This window comes from Homo sapiens, chromosome 1 (genome assembly GCF_000001405.40).
Source record: "Homo sapiens chromosome 1, GRCh38.p14 Primary Assembly".
NCBI classification, from domain to species: domain Eukaryota; kingdom Metazoa; phylum Chordata; class Mammalia; order Primates; family Hominidae; genus Homo; species Homo sapiens.
This window is the reverse complement of record NC_000001.11, coordinates 200827109-200851512: the sequence shown is the minus strand read 5'-3', so window position 1 is coordinate 200851512 and position 24404 is coordinate 200827109. Positions and strand designations below refer to the sequence as shown.

The following is a 24404-nucleotide window of genomic DNA, read 5'->3' as shown; positions in this document are numbered from 1 at the left end:
AAAAAGATGCAGTACCTTGGCTGGGCACGGGGGCTCATGCCTGTAATCCCAGCACTTTGGGAGGCTGAGGCGGGTAGATCACCTGAGGTTGGGAGTTCGAGACCAGCCTGACCAACGTGGAGAAACCCCATCTCTACTAAAAATACAAAATTTATTTTGTGGTGCATGCCTGTAATACCAGCTACTAGGGAGGCTGTGGCAGGAGAATCGCCTGAACCCAGGAGGCGGAGGTTGTGGTAAGCCGAGATTGCGCCATTGTACTCCAGCCTGGGCAACAAGAGCGAAGCTCTGTCTCAAAAAATAAATAAATAAATAAATAAAAATAAAAAGATGCAGCACCTCTAGGAGGTCATGGTCTAAGAGACAAAGCAAATCATACAAAACAGTTGAAAACTCCGGGACACAGGACAGGTATGAGTATATTTAAGGATACAATAGATACACAAATGATGAAACATTTGACCTCGACTGAAGGAATTATAAAAGGCTTTAGATGAAGCTTGAAGTTAATCTTAAAGAACAATACAAAATAAAATTATGGGGAAGAAGCTAGACAAAAAGATTTAGGTTCATCTGTGAAAGTCCCTGAATGTTGTGCTAAAGGGTTTGAACTTTATTCAACAGGCAAGATTTTTGACTAGAAAGAGACTCAATTGGAGCTATGCTCTTGGAACTATCACCTTTAGTAGCAGTATGAAGACTGGAATGGCATGATTGGAGACAGACAGCCCAGTCAAGAAGCTGTAACCATAGTCCAACAGATGAGTAATGGGGTGGTGAAGATGTGTAAATAAATGGAATAGAAATGAAGCAACAGAGGTACTGCCTGTTTTATACTAATGATTTTCTTCCCCTTTGTTTCCCTTCCTCTGCAAGGAACAGAGTCTCTAGGCAGTAAATTTTAATATCTATTAGTGTCTACAGTAGCATTCTGTTAAAAAAAATGGCAGTGTTACATGATTAAGAGACAAAATGGAATCATTCTCTGAAGAGATCTGAGTAGCTTAATTTTTAAAAGGCTTTTGTGAGTGAGAAAGAGCAGTAGAGGAGCAAAACCAAGGAATACATCTAAACATGTGATAAAAGGATTTATTACAGCTTTGAGTCCATACTGGAAACCACAGTGTGCTTGAATGTTACTATAGTTAATGGGGATGAACTTGTATCAAAAGGGACTGCTACTGAAAGAAGCAAGCATGTCAACTGAAAAAAAAAATATCCAACACAACCACACTCATCTAATGAAGATGCCCAAAACTATGCAGATTAATACTACACCTTAAAAAAGAATCCACAGCATACTTTCTGGTCATCATCAAATTGTTCTTTATCACTTTCTCCATCATATTTTTCAACAGGTACATCAGCCTTTTCAGGGGGTTTCAAATCTGAGAGGGAAACTTCAATCAGATTAACATTTTTTGGAGCAGTGGGTGGGAAAACGGGTTTAGGAGGGGGTTCTGTGGGTTGATTCAATTGGTCCTCATTTGGTGTCAGACATACAGTCTCTGTGACAGGCAGTGATAGGACTTCAGAGACTGTTGACTCAAAAGGTTTGATTTCCTTTTCTTCTGGATTATGTCCACGCTGTTCCAAAGTCCCTTTGGATTCCAATTCCTCCTTTTTAACTTCCTCTTTAGGTTTGGATTCCTTTAACTGAGGTTCTCCATCATCCCCAAAACATACAAATGACCTAGTTTGAATAGGAACTTGACTTGGTGAAAACCTCCTTAACCGAGGAAGGCTATCCACAGACCGAGGAGGTGTCAAGGTTCGATTCAAAGGTGTTATTTTTAACTCATTTGGCCTAGGAGTCCTTTGACTTTTAACAGAAAAAGATGCACTTTTCCTGTTAGAAGACTGTGGAGATGGGTGAGTAGGACGAGGGGAGTCTGAGGAGAATGGTGCAATGGCTGATGACAGGCCTGCCTGCTTAGAAGGCTTAAAATCTCGAATCTGTTTCTGTGGAGAGGGTTGTGGAGGTGAAATCACCCAAGATTGTTGCTCTCTCATCTGCATTAACATCTCCTGCTGAAGTGACAAGCGTTGCATTTCTTGTTGTAGAAAATGCAGGGATGAATTTAACTTTTCAATGGATTTGGTATATTCTAAAATCTCTCCTTCATTTAAAGTTTCTTCTGAGGGGCTTGCCAGGTTCCACTGCTTCTCAGGATCAATAGGTGTAGTTGGAGACTTTAGCCATTTGGCTTGAGGATTCTCCATGCTCTCTTTTATATCTGCCAGTGACTTGCTCCTTTGTCCATCAGTTTTTTGTGATTCCTTTTCTTTTGCTCGATCAGTATATACTTTCTCATCTTCTGCACCCGCCGCTTCCTCTCGTAGAGGAGATATCCCATCCCCTTTCTTTTTCACTACAGTAAGGAATGCTGTCCTTCCCATTTTCTGTCTCTGTTTGGTAAAAGCAGCTTCCATTTTCTTTTTCTGGGCTTCTATAGCACGCCTCTTTTCTTCTAGTTTCATCCTAAGATGCACCATTTCAGAGGCCAACAGCTGGGTAGTGTCCCGTCCCTGTGGAAGCCCTGTTTCTTCTGGAATTTGTGCCCAAGCAACCACATGAGGAATATTAAGTTCAGAGCCTTCTGGTGTAGTTTTTTGAGAACTGCTTCCACTACTTTTTCCATCGGTATGATTCAGTTTCCTGAATTTTTGTTCAGCAAAGCTGGTCATTTTAACTCCAGAACTAGAAGAAGCACTGCTGCCTGGCTGAGACTTGGTACTTACAGTACTTGGACAAGGACTCAAAGCTTCCCTGGTGTTGCCAGTTCGAATATCATAATCCTGAAGAAATTTAGATGCATCATCCATGTCAGAGTCCAAGCTTACAGTATAATCTCTCAACGAAGAATCTTCGTCCATAGTTTCAGGAATATCTTCTGAAGGAACGTGAATTCCAGTGTCTACTTCAGTATTGTCAGTTATGGGACTCAAGGCACCTTTCGTATCAGTTACATTATCAGGACTAGATTGATTTAACTTGATATTTGAATTTAAGATACTCATTTCTTGACTATGAAGAAAGAAGCCATTAGCAATTTGGTCTGGCTGAGGTGTATGAGGAGATTTTTCAGTATCATGAATTATTTGTAATGCTTCTTCAATGCTTGGTGTCTCGATCTGATTGCCAAACTCGTCAAGAAGTATTCTATTTTGTAAAGCTCCATTTGGAAGCTTGTAATGAATATTCTCATTAGAATTTAGTTCATTTGTGTTAAGGGGCACACAAGATTTGAGGTCACTGTGAGAATCTATATTAAGTTCTTCTTCAATGCTCTCTGCTTCCTCTTCTCCATTTATTGGCTTGAAGGACAAATTTTTCCTAATGTGTTTAGATACATGACTGTTGTTCAGAGTAAGTCCTTCATTACTAATAGAACGAGTGATTCCTCGGTTTGGAGTGGATCTCTGTACACTATCTTCTTTATCAAAAGAAATATCAAATGATACGCCATGCACTGATGATCTAAAAAAAAGTTAAAGAGAAAAATCCTTTAAAAATCCTAGAAATGATTTTTAGTATCATTTAACAAGAATTATTTGAAATTACATTTCCTTTCTTTCCCCAGTTCTCATAATCATACTGTCTTCAAGGTAAGGGGAGGGCTATCTAGCTACTTTTTAAAGTTAGCCTCTTTTACATCTCTATCATCTGCCTATACTGCCTTTTTCAAATTTAGGAACTAATTAAAAGTTTTAGCAATTTGGTTATCAATAAAAGAGAGACACAGATGCAATTTGCATTTCTTAATAATCTGAATACACTAAAAGTAATTCTCTTTGTTTACCTTTTCTCTTTGGGCCATGTCCCTATGAAGCCATCAACATAAGACATAGATGAAGACCTTCTAATTCCTCCTTCAAATGCAAAAAAGAAAAAGCCATTGAAATCATGTAAAAAAATTAACTTATAGCAACTTAGGAGATTTCATGTATTTGAGGATTCATTAATAGCAATACAAATTAAATAGGTACATAAGGAGAATTAGAGATAATTTTATCAAGAAAAGCAACCACAGTGAAACTGACCATGCTTTTAGTGTGTTATAATAGCCATTTTTCAGAAAACAAACAAACAAACAAAAAAACACACACACACACACACAAAAAAACCCTGGATATTTGTTTATTTATATTTACTGTCAATCATTTCCCAGGTAACCTACTTAAAAGAGTATTTTCCTAGGCTTTTTCAAATATATTACCTGAGGCTGAAGAATGAGCCTGGGGACGTGAATACCTAGAAGGCAAATGATGATGAGACTGTGTAAATGTAGCTCCTTCCCCACTGCAATGGAAAATAAATTTAAAATGTTATATTTTAGCTGTTTAATATAAATTTAGGTAGAATGTCTTAAGTTAGAAACAACACTACCACCTCTCATTCTACAACCTAAATTTTAAAAATATGGAAACATATTGTTTAAACCAAAGAATGGCTGTGATTACAGTATGTATCTATATATATTTTATGTCTTTTAGCCAAACAACTTGAAGTACTTTCATATACATCTCAATGTCTTTGTGAGATATGAATTATTTTCATTTTTATAAACATAAAAACTGATATATAAAAAAGTAAAATGAAACTCACCAATTTGAAATACTTTGGTCAAATCTAATCTCTAAAAACTATAGGTATAATAAACCCTAGTAAAATACCTTGACAGCCTCTCTGCTCACGGACCTGTTTGTATATCTCCAACAGCTGGTAGCCAAGTGTGTGGAGTAGCTGCTGAAAACATCTTTTGCTTTGTCTGTCTTCGTCCTTTGTTTTTTTCTTTCTCATAAAATCATTATTTAGGTTCACTAACATTTGAGATGTGGCTACATTATTCCCAGGAAGGGTAAAAATACTTCAATTCTTTCTCAAAAGTTCCACAGTGTTGGAGAACTACAATGGACCATATGGAGACTTATAGAAATGAGAGGATGACTAGGAACTCAGAATAGCCTAGAATAATGGCTACACAATAACTTTTCAAGGAAAAGAATGTAGACATCCATCTGCATTATAAAAAGAGTTTCTGCTGGGAAAAATAGGAAAAATGAGCTGCTGAGATGTCTGAGAGACAGAAAAGAGATGAGTTTTCCAGAGGACATGAATTAAAACATTTTTCAGAAATGTGGGAGACTGTCCATTTAGGTTCCTAGAATAATTATGGAATAATCTAATCTTTGAGTGGAAAGCTTTACTTTCCTCCACTTTGAAAGTGGAATTTAAAGATTTAATAGAGCAAGAGTGATGACCTAGAACACTGAGTGTTTTCTAAATCTTCAAGGAAGGAAATGTCACTATTGACCCACCATGCCTGCTAAATTTCATATTTTTGTGTTAAGCCAAGAATTCATACAGAAATTACTTTGAATGTTTTACTCATAATTTTTGAAATGTATTTTTAATGTGTCTGAATTTCCAAAAACCCACAAAAGACATTAGTTTTAACGTAAAAAATCAGATAGATTAGGGAGTCCAAAGTCAATATAAATTGTAGGTTCTAATAGATTCAAATAAAAAGCTGCTTATAGGAGCTGCTGAAATACATTTTTAAACAAACTAATGTCCCTATCATATACCTGGGTGAGAAGTCAGGATTATCTAGGTATTAATATGATAGGACATTTTTACTTTGCTTTCAGTTTAGTTCCTAATACTATGTACTAAAACATTAAAGATTTAATATTGTAATAAATATTCTATTGTTGTAACCCAGGGTCCTTGGGTTTTCAGGTACACACTGTGAAAAGGTACCTGCTTGTAACTGTTGCACCTTGAAATTTTTATTGTTTGAGAAATTTCCAGGAAGCAGCCCAACCCCACATTACAAAACAAAAACTACACAAGCTGGGTGGATGTAGAGATGCCTGAGACGGAAATGTATTACCATTACCACACTAAAAATCCCATCCAAGGAGGAGCTTATTCCGCATTTTCTATACATGCCAGTATGCAGAAGCATGACTGATGACTGTGCCTTTACTGCCTTTACTCCACCTCTACACACAATGATACAGTTAACCAGCCTACTAAAAGCCCTATTTTCACCTCTGCTTGAGGAGGCACTGCTTTGGGGAATTATTCCCGGTGTCCTCCTTACTTGCTGCAAGTAATAAAATCCTCGTCTTGTTAAATCCTCCTTGGTTGTGGCTTTGGACTGTCATCTGCCAAGAGACCAAACCCACCCGTTGTGTGGGTAACACTGTGATCTCTCAATAGCTATCCTAACAAGAAAAAAAAAAAGCAGGAAAAACCTTCAAAGATTTTTAAAATAATAAAATATGTAAAAGTCCTAATAGAATTTCAAAATTTCCCTCCAAGGCCTAAGAGTTACCTATTAGACAGTTCTCAATTATGAACAAGTTATGCATCAAAAGTTTGGTTTTAGGTTGGTTATTGGGAACTTAGAATATATTGTCCCATCTTTTCAGTGTGGTACATAAACATTCATTTCAGTGTATATTTCAATTTATATTTAAGTTAAAACAGGCTTTAATAGGGTAAGCTAATTATAACAGTTCAAAATCCAACTGAAATTCTTAAAAACCTTATTTAATGTAATATAATATTATGTAATTTAATTAGTAAATAGAATAGAAATGGTGAAAATAAAGTCATTGTGGAGTTTACCTTGAAGGGAAGTCAGAACTACTATCTAAGACATTTCTTTTGGCAGCATTCAAGACAGGAATTGAAGGCATATCTTTTACAGGTTCAGCTGGAATAAAAGATTTTTAAAAACACCCTCAAATTAGCATATTTCTATGAAAAATTCTGGACCATAAGCAAATTTATAACAAAATTTAACTTCTATTTCCCTTTCTACGTATTGAGAAATCATAGCATAAAGTTTTCTTCTTAAATAATTTTCAAAGGGTCAAGTTTCTTTAAGATCTTTTTGAAGTATTCAGACTTAATTTCAAAATTAAAAAAAATTTTCTTTCTTTTTTTTTAGACGGAGTCTCGCTCTGTCACCCAGGCTGGAGTGCAATGGCGCGATCTCAGCTCACTGCAACCTCCACCTCTTGGGTTCAAGCAATTCTCCTGCCTCAGCCTCCCAAGCAGCTGGGACTACAGGCACCCGCCACCACGCTCAGCTAATTTTTGAATTTTTAGTAGAGACAGGGTTTCACCATATTGGCCAGGCTGGTCTCGAACTCTTGACCTTGTGATCTGCCCGCCTCAACCTCCCAAAGTGCTGGGATTACAGGCGTAAGCCACCACGCCCAGCCAAAAATTTCTTAAATTAAAAAATTCATCTGATTAAGGATAATTAGGGGGAAAAAGCCTAACATAAAATAAATACATGTATTTAAAACAAAAATAAGTGGCTGGGTGTGGTGGTTCACGCCTGTAATCCCAGTACTCTGGGAGGCTGAGGCCGGTGGATCACGAGGTCAGGAGATTGAGACCATCCTGGCTAACATGGTGAAACCCCACCTCTACTAAAAATACAAAAAATTAGCCGGGCGTGGTGGCAGGCGCCTGTTGTCCCAGCTACTCAGGAGGCTGAGGCAGGAGAATGGCGTGAACCTGGGAGATGGAGCCTGCAGTGAGCCGAGATTGTGCCACTGCACTCCAGCCTGGGCAACAGAGCGAGACTCCATCTCAAAAACAAAACAAAACAAAACAAAACAAAAACAAACAAACAAAAAAAAAACAAAAATAAGTTTGAGCGTTTAGTTTTGTGAAAGCTTTCATAGAACTTCAGATACATATGGTCAGCTCTGCTTCTTTATGAAACAGCTGGTATTTTGGTCAATTAGAGAAAAACAGAATTTCTTTAGAAAATAATTAAACCTGCTGGTATACTTTTATTTTTGTAAGTAACTCTGGAGGAAGACTCAATTTACTTTTTGACTTTGAGATCTGATGCAACAGCTGTTGGTATTTTGAATAGTGAGCTTCACAGGTGAAATCACAGAAAGCAATGTAGTGAAAACCCTGTTAATAATTTTTAAAAATTATACAAATATTGGTTATGAAAATTACTAAGAATATCTGACTTCATTCAATGGACTTAGGGGAGCATCTCAATTTTTTTATAGGCATGTAAAGAAGTTATATAATGTTATATAGTGACTCGATATTCAGAATCTGCCTTAAGAAGCTTAGCAATACTCTAATTATTGCTTATTTCACAGATTTTTGCCTGAGATGCGGTGGGCTGCCTGAAGTAACCTCATTGTACTCACTAGACTATGCCTCCCCTTTGGCTACATATGTTTTTCCTCCTTCCTGATCACTTTCTCTTCTTTTATTTTTTGGGGGTTTAGCGGGGAGGTGCAGGTAACGGTAGCAGTTACAAAAATAACAAACTTTGGAGCCAAGGAAAGCTGCTAAGTAGTTGGGATGCACAATGATCATGTGTTGCGTTGGGTAGGGCAGCTATTGGTAGCAGACAGAAATGTTTCCATAAGTTATGCTGGAAGAAAGTTCTTTAGTGGGCTAAGCTTATAATTTAAGATCATTTTTCCCCCTATAGAAATAAACCTCTAGTTTTTTTTTTTTTTCTTTTTTTTTTGAGATGGTGTCTCATCTCTGTCACCCAGGCTGGAGTGCAGTGATGCAATCTCGCTCACTGCAACCTCTGCCTCCTGGGTTCAAGTAACTCTACTGTCTCAGCCTCCCGAGTAGCTGGAATTACAGGCATGCACCAACATGCCCGGCTAATTTTTGTATTTTTAGTAGAGACAGGGTTTCACCATGTTGCCCAGCCTGGTTTCAAACTCCTGACCTCAGGTAATCCACCCGCCTAGGCCTCTCAAAGTGCTAGGATTACAGGCGTGAGCCACCGCACCCAGCCTAGAAATAAACCTCTAGTTTTATAATGGGAGCCAAGAGAAAATTGGTTTTGCTATGTGAAATTTTGCTTTACAGAAAATTTAGGAAGATTTTTTGTTCCTTATATCTAGGGGTCTTTACAGTAACCCCCTTATTTCTTACTAATTTTATTCTTATTATGTACAATCAATAGTTCATGATATAATAGTCATAAAATCCACTAGGTTTAAAAATCCATACAAACCTTTTTATAGTTTAATGGCAAATTCGAGTTGCGGGTTAAGGCCAAACAATAATTTGTGGGGATTCTGGGTAACACAATGTTAAAAACTAAGAATCTAAAAGGGAATAAAAGCTGGGATAACGATAAAAGATGCAAAGAAAAGAAATGGACAGTTAAAGCTAAAAGTTCCACATCATAAGACTTCAAATTCAAAGCCATTCCCTCCATTTTCTTTTTCTTCTCCTCTAACCATTTTAAGAGGTTAGGAGAATCTATCAAGTGTAATAGCTGAAATCTAAAAAAAAAATAATAGGCTGATTTCTAAAAATGTAACCAGGTAAGGTTATATCAACATTCCATTTTTTTCTGTTCATAGGAACATTTAAAATTAAAAAGATTGATTACCTCCTTGTGGACGAACAACACGAGGCTGTACAAAAGACGGCTTCACCACTTCAAACCACCAGAACAGTTCCGCCATGAACACCAAATAATTACTCTATATAGGAAATTTAAGAGAAAGCCTACATTAGGTAAAACTTCATGATAAACAGAATTTTATTGTTTTAAAATATAGGTTTAAATCTCATTCATTCATCACTGGAGTATATTCACTATAGTAGGCTATTAAACATGGGATGGAATATTAACTCTTGTGGGTAAAAATTATAACTATTCAAAACCTCTTGCTGATCATTTGCTCTATAGTTCTAAAATGGTGGTCCAATTGATCTAGCAGGCATGAATACCTCTAACTGTGTAGAACACTGAGATAATATATAAGGCACTTTCATTCCAAAGTAAATATAAGCAACTTAAAAAGTTATTCAATCATCTGACACTCTAAAGAGGGGTTATCACTTTCAAAACATAACTAAGCTCTACTCAGATCCCTAGAAATTTCTCCAAAACGTAACTGGATGTAGTGTTAAAAAAATACTTTATTTGGCCGGGCGTGGTGACTCACGCCTGTAACCCCAGCACTTTGGGAGGCCAAGGTGGGCAGATCACGAGGTCAGGAGTTTGAGACCAGCCTGGCCAACAAGGTGAAACCCCGTCTCTACTAAAGATACAAAAAACTAGCCGGGTGTGGTGGCGCGTGCCTGTAATCCTAGCTACTTGAGAGGCTGAGGTAGGAGAATAGCTTGAACCCAAGACACAGAGGTTGCAGTGAGCCAAGATCATGCCATTGCACTCCAGCCTGGGTGACAGGGCAAGACTCCGTCTTAAACAAAAAAAGTTATATGTATGTGCTCAGTAATGTTAAACTCACCAGTAATACAGGTGCTAAATAACACCAAAACTAAATTTTTATAGCTAATTTTTAATAATTTTGAAATGTACAAAACATTATTTATACAATGAATGTATCTACCTAACTTTGAAAAGTTATCAATAAGTCAACAATGTTACCTTTTATTATTACTATTTTAAAATGTAAATAATTTTTTAAATGGCTTAAAATTAAGAGAAAGGATTAAGGGTCCTCAAAAGCACATTTCTACTACAAGTTTATATTTTAAAATGCATATAAAATAAAAGCTGTAAGCATGAAGAATTATTTCAATTTTAGGCATTCGGTAAATTTTTAAAAACTACAAAATCTGTTTTCATAACTATTTAAAATAATATGTTTTCTAAATTTTGGGTGTTTGGCATTTAATAAAATAGTTACTATCAAATTTATTAATGTTTAATAAGGTCTTATTTCATATTAAAGTTTTTAAGATTATCCTGGATATGGTTATTTTCTAATGTCTTGCCTTCTTCCTACTTGCTAATTATGAATAATCCTTAAACTCTATATGCTCTCCACTAGAACTCATGCGTTCTCTTGGTTTTCTCATATTTAAGTTGGTGACTTTCAAATATCATCTCTCATCTGATAGTTCTGGAAGGCTATCGTGTATGTAGAAAGTGAAGAAAAGAGGCTGGGCGCAGTGGCTCATGCCTGTAATCCCAGTGCTTGAGGAGGCTGAGGAGGAAGGACTGCTTGAGGCCTGGAGGTTGAGACCAGCCTGGGCAACATAGCTTGCCTCTATAAAAATTTTAAAAATTAGCTATGCATGGTGGCACGTGCCTGTCATCCTAGCTGCTTGGGAGGCTAGGGCAGGAATACAGCTTGAGCCCAGGATTTGGCTGATTGTGCCACTGCACTCCAGCCTGGGTGACAGAGTGAGACCCTGTCTCTAAAAAAAAATAAAAAGAAAGTGATGAAAAGAGAAGAATCAAGAGTGATGACTCTTAGGTTTTTGTCTCGAGCAACTAATAGTGAGATAGAAAGGACTGGGAGAAACAGGTAATGAAAGGAATCTAGAGTCATTGTTTGAGATGTTCACTGGACATTTAAGTGGACCTGTCTTGTAGGTGGCTGAGTGTAAGAGTCTGGAGTATTACAGAAGATAATGCACAGTGGTGAAGAGCATTTGGTAGGTTTCTACTTTACCTTCATGTTTGCTTTTACTGTAAATTCTCAGAATTTTAGAATGTTGATATACAGATACATACTAATTGAAGCAGCCATTAAAATTTGTGACTAAAAAAAGTAATAAGAATGCTTATAATCCGTAAAGGCTATGCAGTGGCTCTCATCCCTGCTTGACTTCTCAGAAACTTTACAGTTTTAAAAAATTTATTTCTTATTTTAATAGGTGTTTAGGGGAACAGGTGGTGTTTGGTTACATGAATAAGTTCTTTAAGTAATTTCTGAGATTCTGGTGCACCCATCACCCAAGCAGTGTACACTGTACCCAATGTGTGGTCTTTTATCCCTCACCTCCCTCCTGCTTTTTTCCCTGAGTCCCCAAAGTCCACTGTATCATTCTTATGCCTTTGCATCCTTATGGCTTAGCTCCCACTTATGAGTGAGAACATATGATGTTTGGTTTTCCATTCCTGAGTTACTTCACTTAGAATAATGGTCTCCAATTCCATCCAAATTGCTGTGAATGCCATTATATTCTTAATCCTACTTTTCTCTCCTACATATGTATCCTTCCCCTGTCAACAGAATCCTTCCTATTTGGCTTTTAAACATGCTCAAATCCCTCCCATCAAAATAAATGAAACAAAACCTTTACTCAATAACTATTCTCTAGTTTCTCCTCATTCCCACCATCTTTTTACCTCTTCACAAACTTCTTTTAGGAGCAGGCCTCTACTGACATTTTCCATTTCATCACTTTTACTCTCTAATCTACTTCAGTCTTGGCACTGAGTCACATCATTCCCCTAACAGCAACTGCTCAAGTCACCAATGATGTACATATGTTGCTAAATCAAACAGATTTCCCATCTTACTTGACCTCTCAGCTGCATTTGATATTCCTGATCTCGCCCCTCTTTGAAACACTGCCATGCCTACGTCCATCAGCTACTAAATGATTCTCAAATGTACTGACTGCACTTATATATGCAGTGGCCTACCGAGCATTTTCTTTTGGATATCTCAAAGGCCTATGTCCAAAATTGAAATAGTGACCTTCCCTACAAATGTGATCTTACTGCAGTCCTTATCTCACTGAATGGCACCACTATCCCAGTGTGCAAACCAGAAACCTAGGAGTCATCCTTGACACCTTCTTTCTCCCATGTCCAATTCATCACCAAAGCATGCAGATTTTGCATCCTAAATATTTCTGGAATTCACCAACTTCTCTCCATCATAACTGCTCTGATTCAAACATTTTTGCCTTGTTTGGAACACAATAGCTTTTTCTTTGGCTTGCTAAGAAAACAAACTTTTCAAAATGCAACTCTCTTTCCATTGCTCTTGAGGTAAAGGGAATCTTACTATGGCTTACAAGAGGCTACTTGGTACAGTCCCTTTTTCTCTTCCCAGATTTATCTATTACTACATTCTCCAAGTTTCCTCATCTTACCCTCCAGATGATAAAGTCTAAAAAGACAAAGTTTATGCTCATCATTATATCTTCAGTGTTTAAAACAGTGTCTGGCACATGATAGGTGCTCAATAAATATTTATTAAATGAATGTACAAATGAATGAATCTACGTACTAAAAAAAACAGTCAGTAAAACATCAAAACATTGACACAATATTTCTGATTAGTAAGATTATTGTGATTTATATTTCTTCTTTATACTTATCTTTATGGTATACTTTCTAAAGCCAAAGTATAAAATTGGTTTTTAAGTACTGGTGCTAGGTTCCATTTTACTAGCCTAGTTAACTGAAAGCTGATTATATTTTGAAAAAATACTGCTTAAGTGCTCAATAATTATCTGTTGAACAGAAAATAAGTTAATATTTTAAGGACTTTGGTAAGATAGCCATCCTAATAACATTAATTGTACTATTTGGCCACAAGATGTCAGTAGAGTAAGAAATAATTTTCCCAGTAATTAAAACTTATGAAGATTATGTCTTTCTGAGTTCATGACGATTAAACAGCAATAAATCTGTCACCATATTTCAGGAATGATGCCAGATTAATTCATTTAAAAGCTTCTTCTTTCCTTCTTTTAGTTAAGATGGTCATAAGGCTACATACTCTTGTCCCAAAAGCTCCTTAAGCTGATAAACAACTTCAGCAAAGTCTCAGGATACAAAATTAATGTACAAAAATCACTAACATTCCTATACACCAACAACAGTTAAGCCAAGAGCCAAATCAGGAATGCAATCCCATTCACAACTGGCACAAAAAGAATAAAATACCTAGGAATACAGCTAACCAGGGAAGTGAAAGATCTCTACAAGGAGAACTACAATACACTGCTCAAAGAAATCAGAGATGATACAAACAAATGGAAAAACATTCCATGCTCATGGACAGGAAGAATCAATATTGTTAAAATAGCCATACTGCCCAAATCAATGTATAGATTCAATGCTATTCTTATTAAACTACCAATGATATTCTTCATAGAACTAAAAAAAACTATTTTAAAAATCATATTGAACCAAAAAAGAACCTGAATACCCAAGGCAATCTTAAGCAAAAAGAACAAAGCAGGAGGCATCATGTTACCTGACTGCAAACTATATTACAGGGCTACAGTAACCAAAACAGCATGGTACTGGTACAAAAATGGAACAGAACAGAGAGCCCAGAAATAAGGCCACATATCTACAACCATCTGATCTTTGAAAAAGCTGACCAAAGCAAACAATGGGGAAGGACTCCCTATTCAACAAATGGTGCTGGGATAACGGTCTAGCCATACTCAGAAGATGGAAAACAGACACTTTCCTTACACTATATAAAAAAATTAACTCAAGATGGATTAAAGAATTAAATATAAACCCAAAACTATAAAAACCCTGGAAGAAAATCTAGGCAGTACCATTCTGGACATAGGAATGGGCAAAGATTTCATGACAAAGGTGCCAAAAGAAGTTGCAACAAAAGCAAAAATTGACAAATAGGATCTAATTAAACTACAAAGCTTCTGCACAGCAAAAGAAACTATCAACAGTGTGAACAGAGAGCTTATAGAATGGGAGAAAATTTTTCGGACTATGCATCTGACCAAGGTCTCATATCCAGCATCTATAAGGGACTTAAACATATTTACAAGATAAAAATAATCTCATTAAGAAGTGGGCAAAGGACATGAACAGACACTTTTCAAAAGACATAGACATACACGCGGCCAACAAGCATATGAAAAAAAGCCCAATATCACTGATCATTAGAGAAATGCAAATCAAAACCACAATGAGATACCATCTCACACCGGTTAGAATGGCTCTTACTAAAAAGTCAAAAAATAATAGGTGTTGACAAAGTTGCAGAGAAAAAGGAACATTTACACACTGTTGGTAGGAGTGTAAACTAGTTCAACCAATGTGGAAAACAGTGTGGTAATTCCTCAAAGACCTAAAAACAGAAATACTACTGAACCCAGCAATCCCATTACTGGGTATATCCCAAAGGAACATAAATCATTCCACCAAAAAGACACATGCATGTGTATGTTCACTGCAGCACTATTAACAATAGCCAAGACATGGAATCATCCTAAATGCCCATTGACGCTAGACTGGATAAAGAAAATGGGGTACATATACACTATGGAATACTATGCAGCCATAAAAAAGAACAAGATCATGTCCTTTGTAGGAACACAGATGGAGCTGGAGGTCATTATCCTTAGCAAACTAATGCAGAAACAAAACCACACACCACATGCTCTCACTTATGTGACGAAAACACAGGGACAGAAAGAGAACAACAGAAACTGCAAACTATCCACGAGTGGAAGGTGAAAGGAGGGAGAGGATCAGGAGAAATAACTGATGGGTATTAAGGTTAATACCTGGGTGACGAAATAAAAATCTGTACCACAAACTCCCATGACACAAGTTTACCTATGTAACAAACCTGCATATGTACCCTTGAGCTTAAGCTAAAAGTTTAAAATAAGATTGAATTAAAAAAAAAAAGATTCAAATGAAGTCAAAGCTGTGGTAGTAATAAGTAAAGAACATAGAAAGTGACCAAAGCCCTTTCTGTAGAAAATCATAGTTTAAATATACCTAATTTAAGAAAATATCTTTATATGGGTCGTACCCAGACAAAGTTGATATAAACATCAGGACTGTATATTATGTATTGGAAGTCCAAGGTATACCAACTTAAACAAATGCAATCTTATATCTCCATGTATTTAGTGAGACAGTTTTTTTCCTTTGAGATTACAGAAGTAGCATTTAAATTTTTAGCTGACAATGTAGATATCATGTTGATGCCTTTTCTGGTACTAACAGAAATTAATATTTCTGTTATTACCTGAAAATACCAGAAAAAGCATTACAAGATATATATGGAAATGATATTACCTTTCATTCTGATATGAATGGCAAGGGTGTAAACCTTCAACATCAATTAGAAAAAAATTTTTTTTGATGTGTCAGACACAAGAGACTGGGTACAACTTTGGGTCAGCAGGAGCAGTGGCTTATTTTAGAAATGTCTTTACCACTGGCTTTATAGTTTACCCTGCCATTTCGTTCTCTGCTTTACCTCCAAAGCTAAGAATAGTGTCTGGCACATGGAGATACTCAGTAAATATCTGCCGATGAATGAATAAATGACCAAATCCCCAGGCTCAGTACAGTGTCTAGCATATAATAGTCTCTCGCTAAAATATTTTTCAAACATTAGTGTGGGTCCTGCAATGTTCTAAAAGTTATAATAATCTCCAAATTTTGCCATTTTACATTTTGCTGACAAACTTGTTTAACGCTCCTTTCTTTTCATCTTAATAACTTTTACACACTTGCATTCTGTAGTTCTTCAGTGTCTTAAATTAGGGCTTTGTTCTAATGATGCACATGTGACACTTGGTAACCTAGAGTAGCTGCAAACAAATCCTAAAATTCTTCAAAAGCAAAGGTGTACCCAGTTCGTTTCCCCAGTCTGCTTCCAAATGGTTTACCAGAACTAAAACTGCATACATGGGGGTTGCCTGTGTTTATATAGCATGTATATGATTCCCACCATGTTTTTAACAACAGCAAATCTTGAACTTCAAATAATTACTATTTTAAACACTCTTTTTTAACCTTTAAAAATTAAAAGAGAAAGCCCCTATGGTTTTTGTTTTGTTTTTGGTGACAGGGTCTTGGTTTGTCACTAAGTTTGGAGTGCAGTCATGCAATCAGGGCTCACTGCAGTCTCAGCCTCCTAGGTTCAAGCAATCCTCCAATATCAACCTCCTGAGTAGCTGGTACTACACATGTGTGCCATCACGCCTGGCTAACTTTATTTTCTGTAAAGACAAAGGTCTCACTATGTTGCCCAGGCCGGTCTCAAACTCCTGGACTGAAGCGATCCTCCTGCCTTGTCCTCCCAAAGTGCTGGGATTATAGGCATGAGCCACCGCACCAGGCCTGAAGTTTTTATATTGTAGTTCAGTATTTCATAAATTAATATGACTCAACTAGAAAACATTTCTGATTTCTGAATTGACTTTATATTATTGACTCACATAAAGTACAACACTAACATTACTAAAATAACATCTGGAGGATAAGACATAATTCTTGAAGTATTAAAAATAACAGTATTCATAACACAACTTAATTTTCAAACTTGGGAATGGAATGGAATGATTTTCAAAAATCTATTCGTGATGATGATAATAATGATTTTTTTTTTTTGAGACATAGTCTTATTCTGTCACCCAGGCTGGAATGCAGTGGTGCCATCTCAGCTCACTGCAACCTCTGCCTCCCAGGTTCAAGTGATTCTCCTGCCTCAGCCTCCCAAGTAGCTGGGATTATAGGTGCGTGCCACTACGCCTGGCTAGTGTTTGTATTTTTAGTAAACGTGAGGTTTCACCATGTTGGCCAGGCTGGTCTCGAACTCCTCGCCTCAGTGATCTGCCCACCTCAGCCTCCCAAAGTGCTGAGATTACAGGTGTGAGCCACCATGCTCAGCCATGATTATTATTTTTAACATTTAACATCAATGTAAATAAAATATATTCAACTTAAAATTAAGAAAATAATACTACCCATGTGAAATTTTATTATTTTAACACAATCTGACAGCATACATTAGCCTACAGTCAAAGGACAATAAACGTGACAAATTTCAAACAGTCTGGTAACTACAGAACAATTATATATAATCTAGTGAGAATAAACAAACTAAATTTCAATTTAATGCTCAATGACTCATTGTACACATAAAAATACGCAAGGATACCATATCATTTAACTATACATATCATATATTTATGCATAATGGTAGTTAAATAGTACATAATGTTACTTTTCAATTAATTTTTTAATTCAAAAATTAAAAATTCTTTAAGAAAAAGAAAGCTTCATTATTTATAAAGAATCTTACTATTTGTAAGCATTGCTATTTGTAAGAAACATTTAATGGCTTATTCTCTATTTTGCAAACATTAAGACAATAGATCAATTTTGTACATGACTTTTTTTTTTCTTTTTTTGAGACAGGGCCTGGCTCTGCTGCCCAGGCTAGGGTGCAGTGGCGCGATCTCAGCTCACCGCAACCTCTGCCTTCCAGACTCAAGCAATCCTCCTACCTCAGCCTTCGAGTAGCTGGGAACACAGGCACATGCCACCACTCCCAGCTAATTTTTGTATTTATTGTAGGGATGGGGTTTCACCATGTTGCCCAGTCTGGTCTTGAACTCCTGAGCTCAAGCTATCTGCCCACCTCCTCCTCCCAAAGTGCTGGGATTACAGGCACGAGTCACTACAACTGGCCAATTTTGTACATGACTTTAAGTTTGGCTTTGCACTATAAAAGAAACTTGTAGCTTATAGTATATTAAAAAACAAAATAAGGAGAAAAAAATTAAAAACTTTCTTCAAAAGTTCTTTTGACTAATATAGTTAATCTATAAGCTTAAAGTTGCTAGGTCATTTATATATCTTGTTCTATGGTTTATTTTTTATTTTTAAAATTTTATTTATTTATTTTGTGAGACAGGGTCTTGCTCTGTTGCCCAGGCTGGAGTGCAGTGGCACGATCATCGCTCACTGAAGCCTCAACCTCCCAGGCTTAAGCAATCCTCCCACCTTGTCCTCCCAAAGTACTGGGATTACAGGCATGAGCCACTGTTCCCGGTGTTTTTGTTTGTTTTTTAAAAAAACATATTTTAACAAAGCAAAGGGAAAAAAAGAATAATTTAATTTACCTTTATGGATGAAGCAGCATAGAGCATATCTTCCAGAGTGAAATGGCAACACTGGTTCAAGTATTCTTGGCAAAATTCTTGAATCAGCTGCAGATTATACAGGCTATCAGCCAAAGACATAGTTTCTTTCAAACAAATATCTTCAAATAAGAAAAGAGCAAGGTGGTGACTTTGGATTAATTTGATAATAAATATTTCATATCCATCTTGTAATTAGTACAAATACACAATTCTGGTTAACAAACATACATTTATAAATATAGTAGTCATTATACATTAAGACTTAGAAACCGAGCACTATTTTTTTTTGAACTACCTCCCTCAGAATTATATATAAATGTTCTTTATTTTTAAAAAAAAGTCTTCAGTACTTATTAAATAATATTGTCTTTTTTTTGAGACAGGGTCCCACTCAGTCACCTAGGCTGGAGTGCAAAATAATACTGTCTTAAATATTGGTTACTATCTGTCTACAGTTCAGAAGTATTACAATGGAACACTTACCCTCTAATCTGACAACATCAGGACAGTAAAAATGAATAAGGGCAGCTAATGCACAGCCATCTGTCCCATCCTTCAACAAATTTTCTACCAATGGAATGCAAGGCAGTTGCTTAAGCAATGTTTGCTCTTTCCGATAACGAGCCTACGATATAAAAAAAATACATGAAAATAAATAAGTACCAAATAACGCATAGGAAAAAAATCAGTACTGTAAATTCTAATGTACCAGTAATAAAATAAATCATGAGAAATGAGACCACTCACCAATATTTCTTTTTTTCTAAATAACGCTAGGTATTACCAAAGTTAAATACACGGCAACAATAGCTATAGTTTTGAAGCTCAATACTTAATATAACATACTGCTAATTTACACTAACTGACATTTGGCTTAAATATTTAAGTATAAAAGCATCACAAAACAGATTTTGAACACTTTGTATCCAAATAATCAGTTCTGCTCTTTTGAAGATAATAAAATTCATCTACTTTAATTCAGACTTAATTTAAACTGAAAATTCTTATACGGGAAGAGCAAGAATACTATTCAAGCAGAAAGAGTTATCAAAATGAGGGGGAAGGTAAAAGAATATACTATTCTTAAAAGAAATTTGAGGAACTGGAATAGTATCACCAAGACATTCTGGGTTATTATCTGAATGTTGAGGAAACACAAATAGTTAACAACTTTGAAAGTGAAAAAAAAAAAAACCCTTCCAACTTAGATTTCATTAATAATTGAGCAAGTATACGGGTTCTTGCTCCCCCTCAGAAAAAGAGAAGAAACCTTTGTTTCCTAAAGATTGTTTGGTGTGGCTAGATAGAATTTTTAAAAATAGATCTCTAAAAAATGAGACATGCTGTAATAGTTAAGAGAACAAATTCAGATCCTGGTTCAGATCCTGGTTCTGCCACTTACTAGTTTTGTGATCTTGGACAAGTTACTTAAACTCTCATTTCTCATTTTCCCATCTGTAAACTGGCGTAATAATAGTACCCACTTCATAGAACCACTGGAAGATTAAGTAAGATGATGGACACAAAGTGCTATGCATCCTGCTGGGCACACAGCAAGCAATCAATAAAGGTTAGCTATTATTAGCTGTTAACTCTTCTAAAGCCAAGTAAAATAATGCTGAAGATTTAGTGAATGTACACACGAAAGTATTTTGCTAGCAAAATATATAACATAAATTACTGGTAGTTTTTTTAAGGTTATCAAACTATTTTTTCTTCTAATTCCATCTAAATTGGTCATCTCTATAGTTTAGAATTAAAATATAATTATAAGATAAAACACTTTTGTGAGAATAAAAATAGAAAAATAAAAATTTACTGAAAGAGAACACAACATTTGGTAGTGAAGTTAGATTTCTTTTCAATGCTATCTCTCAGAAAAGCATCAGCATTAATGAAGAAGGAGATACTTATTCCTGGATTTCTCTCACTGGCTACCCAAGGACAAAATTCATGGAACATGTTTTCCTCTTAAAGATTTCTGAAGGTTCTTGTTAATTAGTGCATAATAGACTCCGTATTTAAGAGTACATCCCTAATTCAGGGGGTAACTATATTCAGAAAAAAATTACTTGCAGGTACTATATGGATTCTTTAATTGATTCTGATTTTAACATAATTCTTAGAAAATTCCTCACTTTGCAGCTAAGAAACAGCTTAAAATCAACCATGGGGAGGGAAGAGGAAGGAAGAAAGAAAAAAGAAATCAACCAGTACAGCGGTATCTTCTAGGCTTAAGCTACCGTTCTCACAATTAGTATCTGTTCCAGATCCTTACATGCTTTTCTTTGGTTATCTGGGATAAAAACAGTCTGCCTCTTGGACATCCTCAAAATTGGGCTGGGACTAGTAGTTTGTTTTCAGCCTATGACCTGAATTGGACTAAGCCAAGCACCCAGGGTCATGCAACAAAGAATTGAATTATGTGATTTGTTCTACTCCCTCCTGCAAAGTAGCACTTTTGTACAAGGTATGTGCAAACAGGCACATGTATGTGCACGTGCACACACACACACACACACACAGCTTTATATGACATTAGCAATAAGTATCTATGGTTTAGACTAGACAGAGAATTATGAATGGGATGCCAAAACATTTTCCTAAAGATTGTATTCTAGAAGATATATTAAGTAAACCAACTTTAAATCTTGAGATTATGTCCAGCACTCAGAAGGTTCATCCGCAGTTCATGAAAGAGTCTTTTGTACTTGAACATGCTATTTGCTTTATAAACTTATTGCATGGAAACATGCCCTTTCTTTCTGCAAACTAAGAAGTTTGGCATTTAGAAAGAACCCCCTATATTTTTATATTTCAACATTATGGTATATTTATTTTCTTCTCCTTTTTTTTGTTGTTTGTTTTATTTTTATTTTATTATTATTATTTTTTTTGGAGATAGCGTCTCACTCTGTTACCCAGGCTGGAGTGCAGTGGCACAATCATGGCTCACTGCAGCCTCGACCTCCTGGTCTCAGGTGATTCTCCCACCTCAGCCTTTTGAGTAGGTGAAACCACAAATGTGTACCATTATGCCTGCCTCATTTTTCTATTTTTTGTAGAGATGAGGTTTTGCCAAGTTGCCCAGGCTGGTCTCAAACTCCTGGGATCAAAGGATCCACCTGCCTTGGCCTCTCAAAGTGTGGGATTATGCGCGTGAGCCACCGCACCCGGCCATTATGGTATATTTCTAAATTAGAGTTTTATTATCGAGGATGTAAAATAGTTCTTAAGTGGTTTAACACACCCATCCCCATATTTAAATCTGAAAGATCAATCTTTAAGTCAAATCAGAATTTAATATGGTTTTGGTCCGCTACTGGTGAGGTCACAGAAAACCTTCTGCTTTCTTAATCACACAAAAAGTGAAGTGTCATCTATAATTCAAGCTGAAAAGGAACTAGGTCTGTCAAAAAGATAATTTTTTAAAAATAGAGATGGGGGTTCAATATGTTGTCCAAGATGGTCTTGAACTCCTGGGCTCAAGCAGTCCTCCCACCTTGGCCTCTCAAAGTACTAGGATTATAAGCGTGAGCCACCATGCTCAGCCACAAAGATGATTTTTAAATGCAGGCAATTTATTCATGCAATTCAAATTAATATTTACTAAAATTATTTAAATTAATGAGAAGCTACATAGTAAGATTTTTGTTTTTGTTTTTGTTTTTGAGACGGTTTCACTCTTGTTGCCCAGGCTGGAGTGCAATGGCGCGATCTCGGCTCACTGCAACCTCTGCCTCCCTGGTTCAAGCGATTCTCCTGCCTCAGCCTCCCGAGTAGCTGGGATTACAGGCATGCGCCACCACGCCCAGCTAATTTTGTATTTTTAGTAGAGATGGGGTTTTTCCATGTTGGTCAGGCTGGTCTCGACCTCCTGACCTCATGATCTGCCCACCTTGGCCTCCCAAAGTGCTGGGATTACAGGTGTGAGCCACCGCACCTGGCCCATAAGTTTTTTTTTTTTAACCTACTTACTGATAGTCTGTGAATACTGACAAGATTAGCAACAGGATGTTTACCCTTTAAATTATTTTTAGAACTTCTGATCTAAACCTTGGCTGTATCTTTTATCTTTCCATTTTACATGACCTTAAAATCCAATCTCTATTCAATGACTAACAGAATTACATGAAATGACTTTAACAGCAAGACATAAACAATACCATTCTACAATTACAATTCTGGAGAGCAAACTGAAGTAGCTGAGCAAACTTACTGGAACCAGTTTCCAAAACCATTTGGAAGGAGACTTCAGAGGAAGCAGCGGGAAAAAAGGGGAAAGCAAAAGGTAAAGGGAAAATTCATCAGAATTATCTTCAATTAACAAATTATAGTAAAGCTTCTGATAGTGGAGTTCCAAGTTTATAGTTCTCATAACATTTCATATGTTAATAAATATTTTAGTTAAAAATACATAAGTTCCTAATGCTAAAGACCACTATCTTCTCCTGTCTCTCTCCTCTCCCCATACAGATATTCATTGTAGGATACCTAGAATATGCTGTATACTTTAGCAGCAAAAAATTTTATTTCTGAGTTTTGGAATCATATGTCATATTAAAAAATAAATCTATATCACAAAAGGGAAGTAAAAATATTCTACAGCTAGGTTTGCAATCATAATTCTTAGGTATTAGTAGACTGTGTCTGACAAGGCAATATTCCCCAAAAAGCAAAGTAGAAAGATAATTTCAATAAAAACAAGTATAAAGCAAATAATAATATAGTAGAATATATCAAGATGATCATTTCCTTCACTATATAAAAAGTTTCTTTTAATTAATGGAAAAAAACCTAGTTGGCAATTGTTACCAGTTAAGATTTTTGTAAGTGTCTAAAGCAAGTAACTACTCACACAAAGAGAATATAAATGTTATTAAATTTACTATCTAGGGCTGTCCCAAAGAATCTAATTTTCTTCTTTAAAAAAATGAATATAATAAACCCATAATTTCAGATAACATGAATTAATCATTTGTGTTTGTTTATCTTTGTATCTGCTAAAACAGCTTCTGGCTCTGAATAAATGTTTGTTGAAGTGAACCAAAGTAAATAGAATCTGAGTTAAAATTCATATCCAAAATTAAAATTCATATCCAAAATTTTTATGTAGAAAGTTTTTCCGTATAAACAGAAAAATAATATAAATAAGGTATTTTCAAGAACTTTAAGAATTAGAAAAATGTCACCTGAAGAATCAGAAACATACCAGCTTCCTACATATAAACAACATTTCCAATAAATTTTTCTTATAGCACCAGGAAGAATAGCCTCAATAATTTTGTGGAATGTATTTTAATCTCCCATTTAACTGAACGTTTTTGGCAGCTGCAGTTATAATAGCCACAAAAAGTACAAGAGCAGGACCAAAGAGCAGGAAGCCACTGAAAACGTGTCAGGGTTTCCAATTTGTAACAGAAATTTTAAAAACAAGGATTTTTTTGTTTTCTAGACTAGAAGAACCCATTAAATAGAAAATGGTGATAACAAGAAATTATTGTGGACTATTCCTAACAGCAGGTGTACAAAGAAGTCTCTTAACGGTTAAAGTTATTCCATATTTCTTGTAAAATATGCAATAATTGGATTTTGTTACTAATTCAGACTGCTCTGGCCTTTCTCTTGGCCCTCCATTGATCTAAACTGGTAACAGCAATCTTCTTGGCGGAAAAAGGAAACCCACAGATTGGCTGTGTGAAGGAAATTTAACTAA

At 36.0% G+C, this 24404-nt stretch overlaps 1 protein-coding gene across 7 annotated transcripts in view; it reads right to left on the bottom strand.

The window, feature by feature from the left end:
* Positions 1-24404, bottom strand: part of CAMSAP2 (calmodulin regulated spectrin associated protein family member 2) — a 121812-nt gene that overhangs the window by 9192 nt on the left and 88216 nt on the right. For 2 of the 7 annotated variants that reach the window (NM_001297707.3, XM_017000799.2), the window contains 8 exons: positions 22908-22940; positions 19172-19313; positions 18668-18807; positions 9426-9519; positions 6644-6731; positions 4221-4303; positions 3804-3873; positions 1279-3481 (listed from right to left, as the gene is read on the bottom strand). In NM_001297707.3, coding sequence (NP_001284636.1) covers positions 1279-3481; positions 3804-3873; positions 4221-4303; positions 6644-6731; positions 9426-9519; positions 18668-18807; positions 19172-19313; positions 22908-22940 — 2853 coding nt within the window. The remainder of the gene's footprint in view (positions 1-1278; positions 3482-3803; positions 3874-4220; positions 4304-6643; positions 6732-9425; positions 9520-18667; positions 18808-19171; positions 19314-22907; positions 22941-24404) is intronic. The other 5 variants (NM_203459.4, XM_047416200.1, NM_001297708.3 and 2 more) reach the window with 3 other exon arrangements.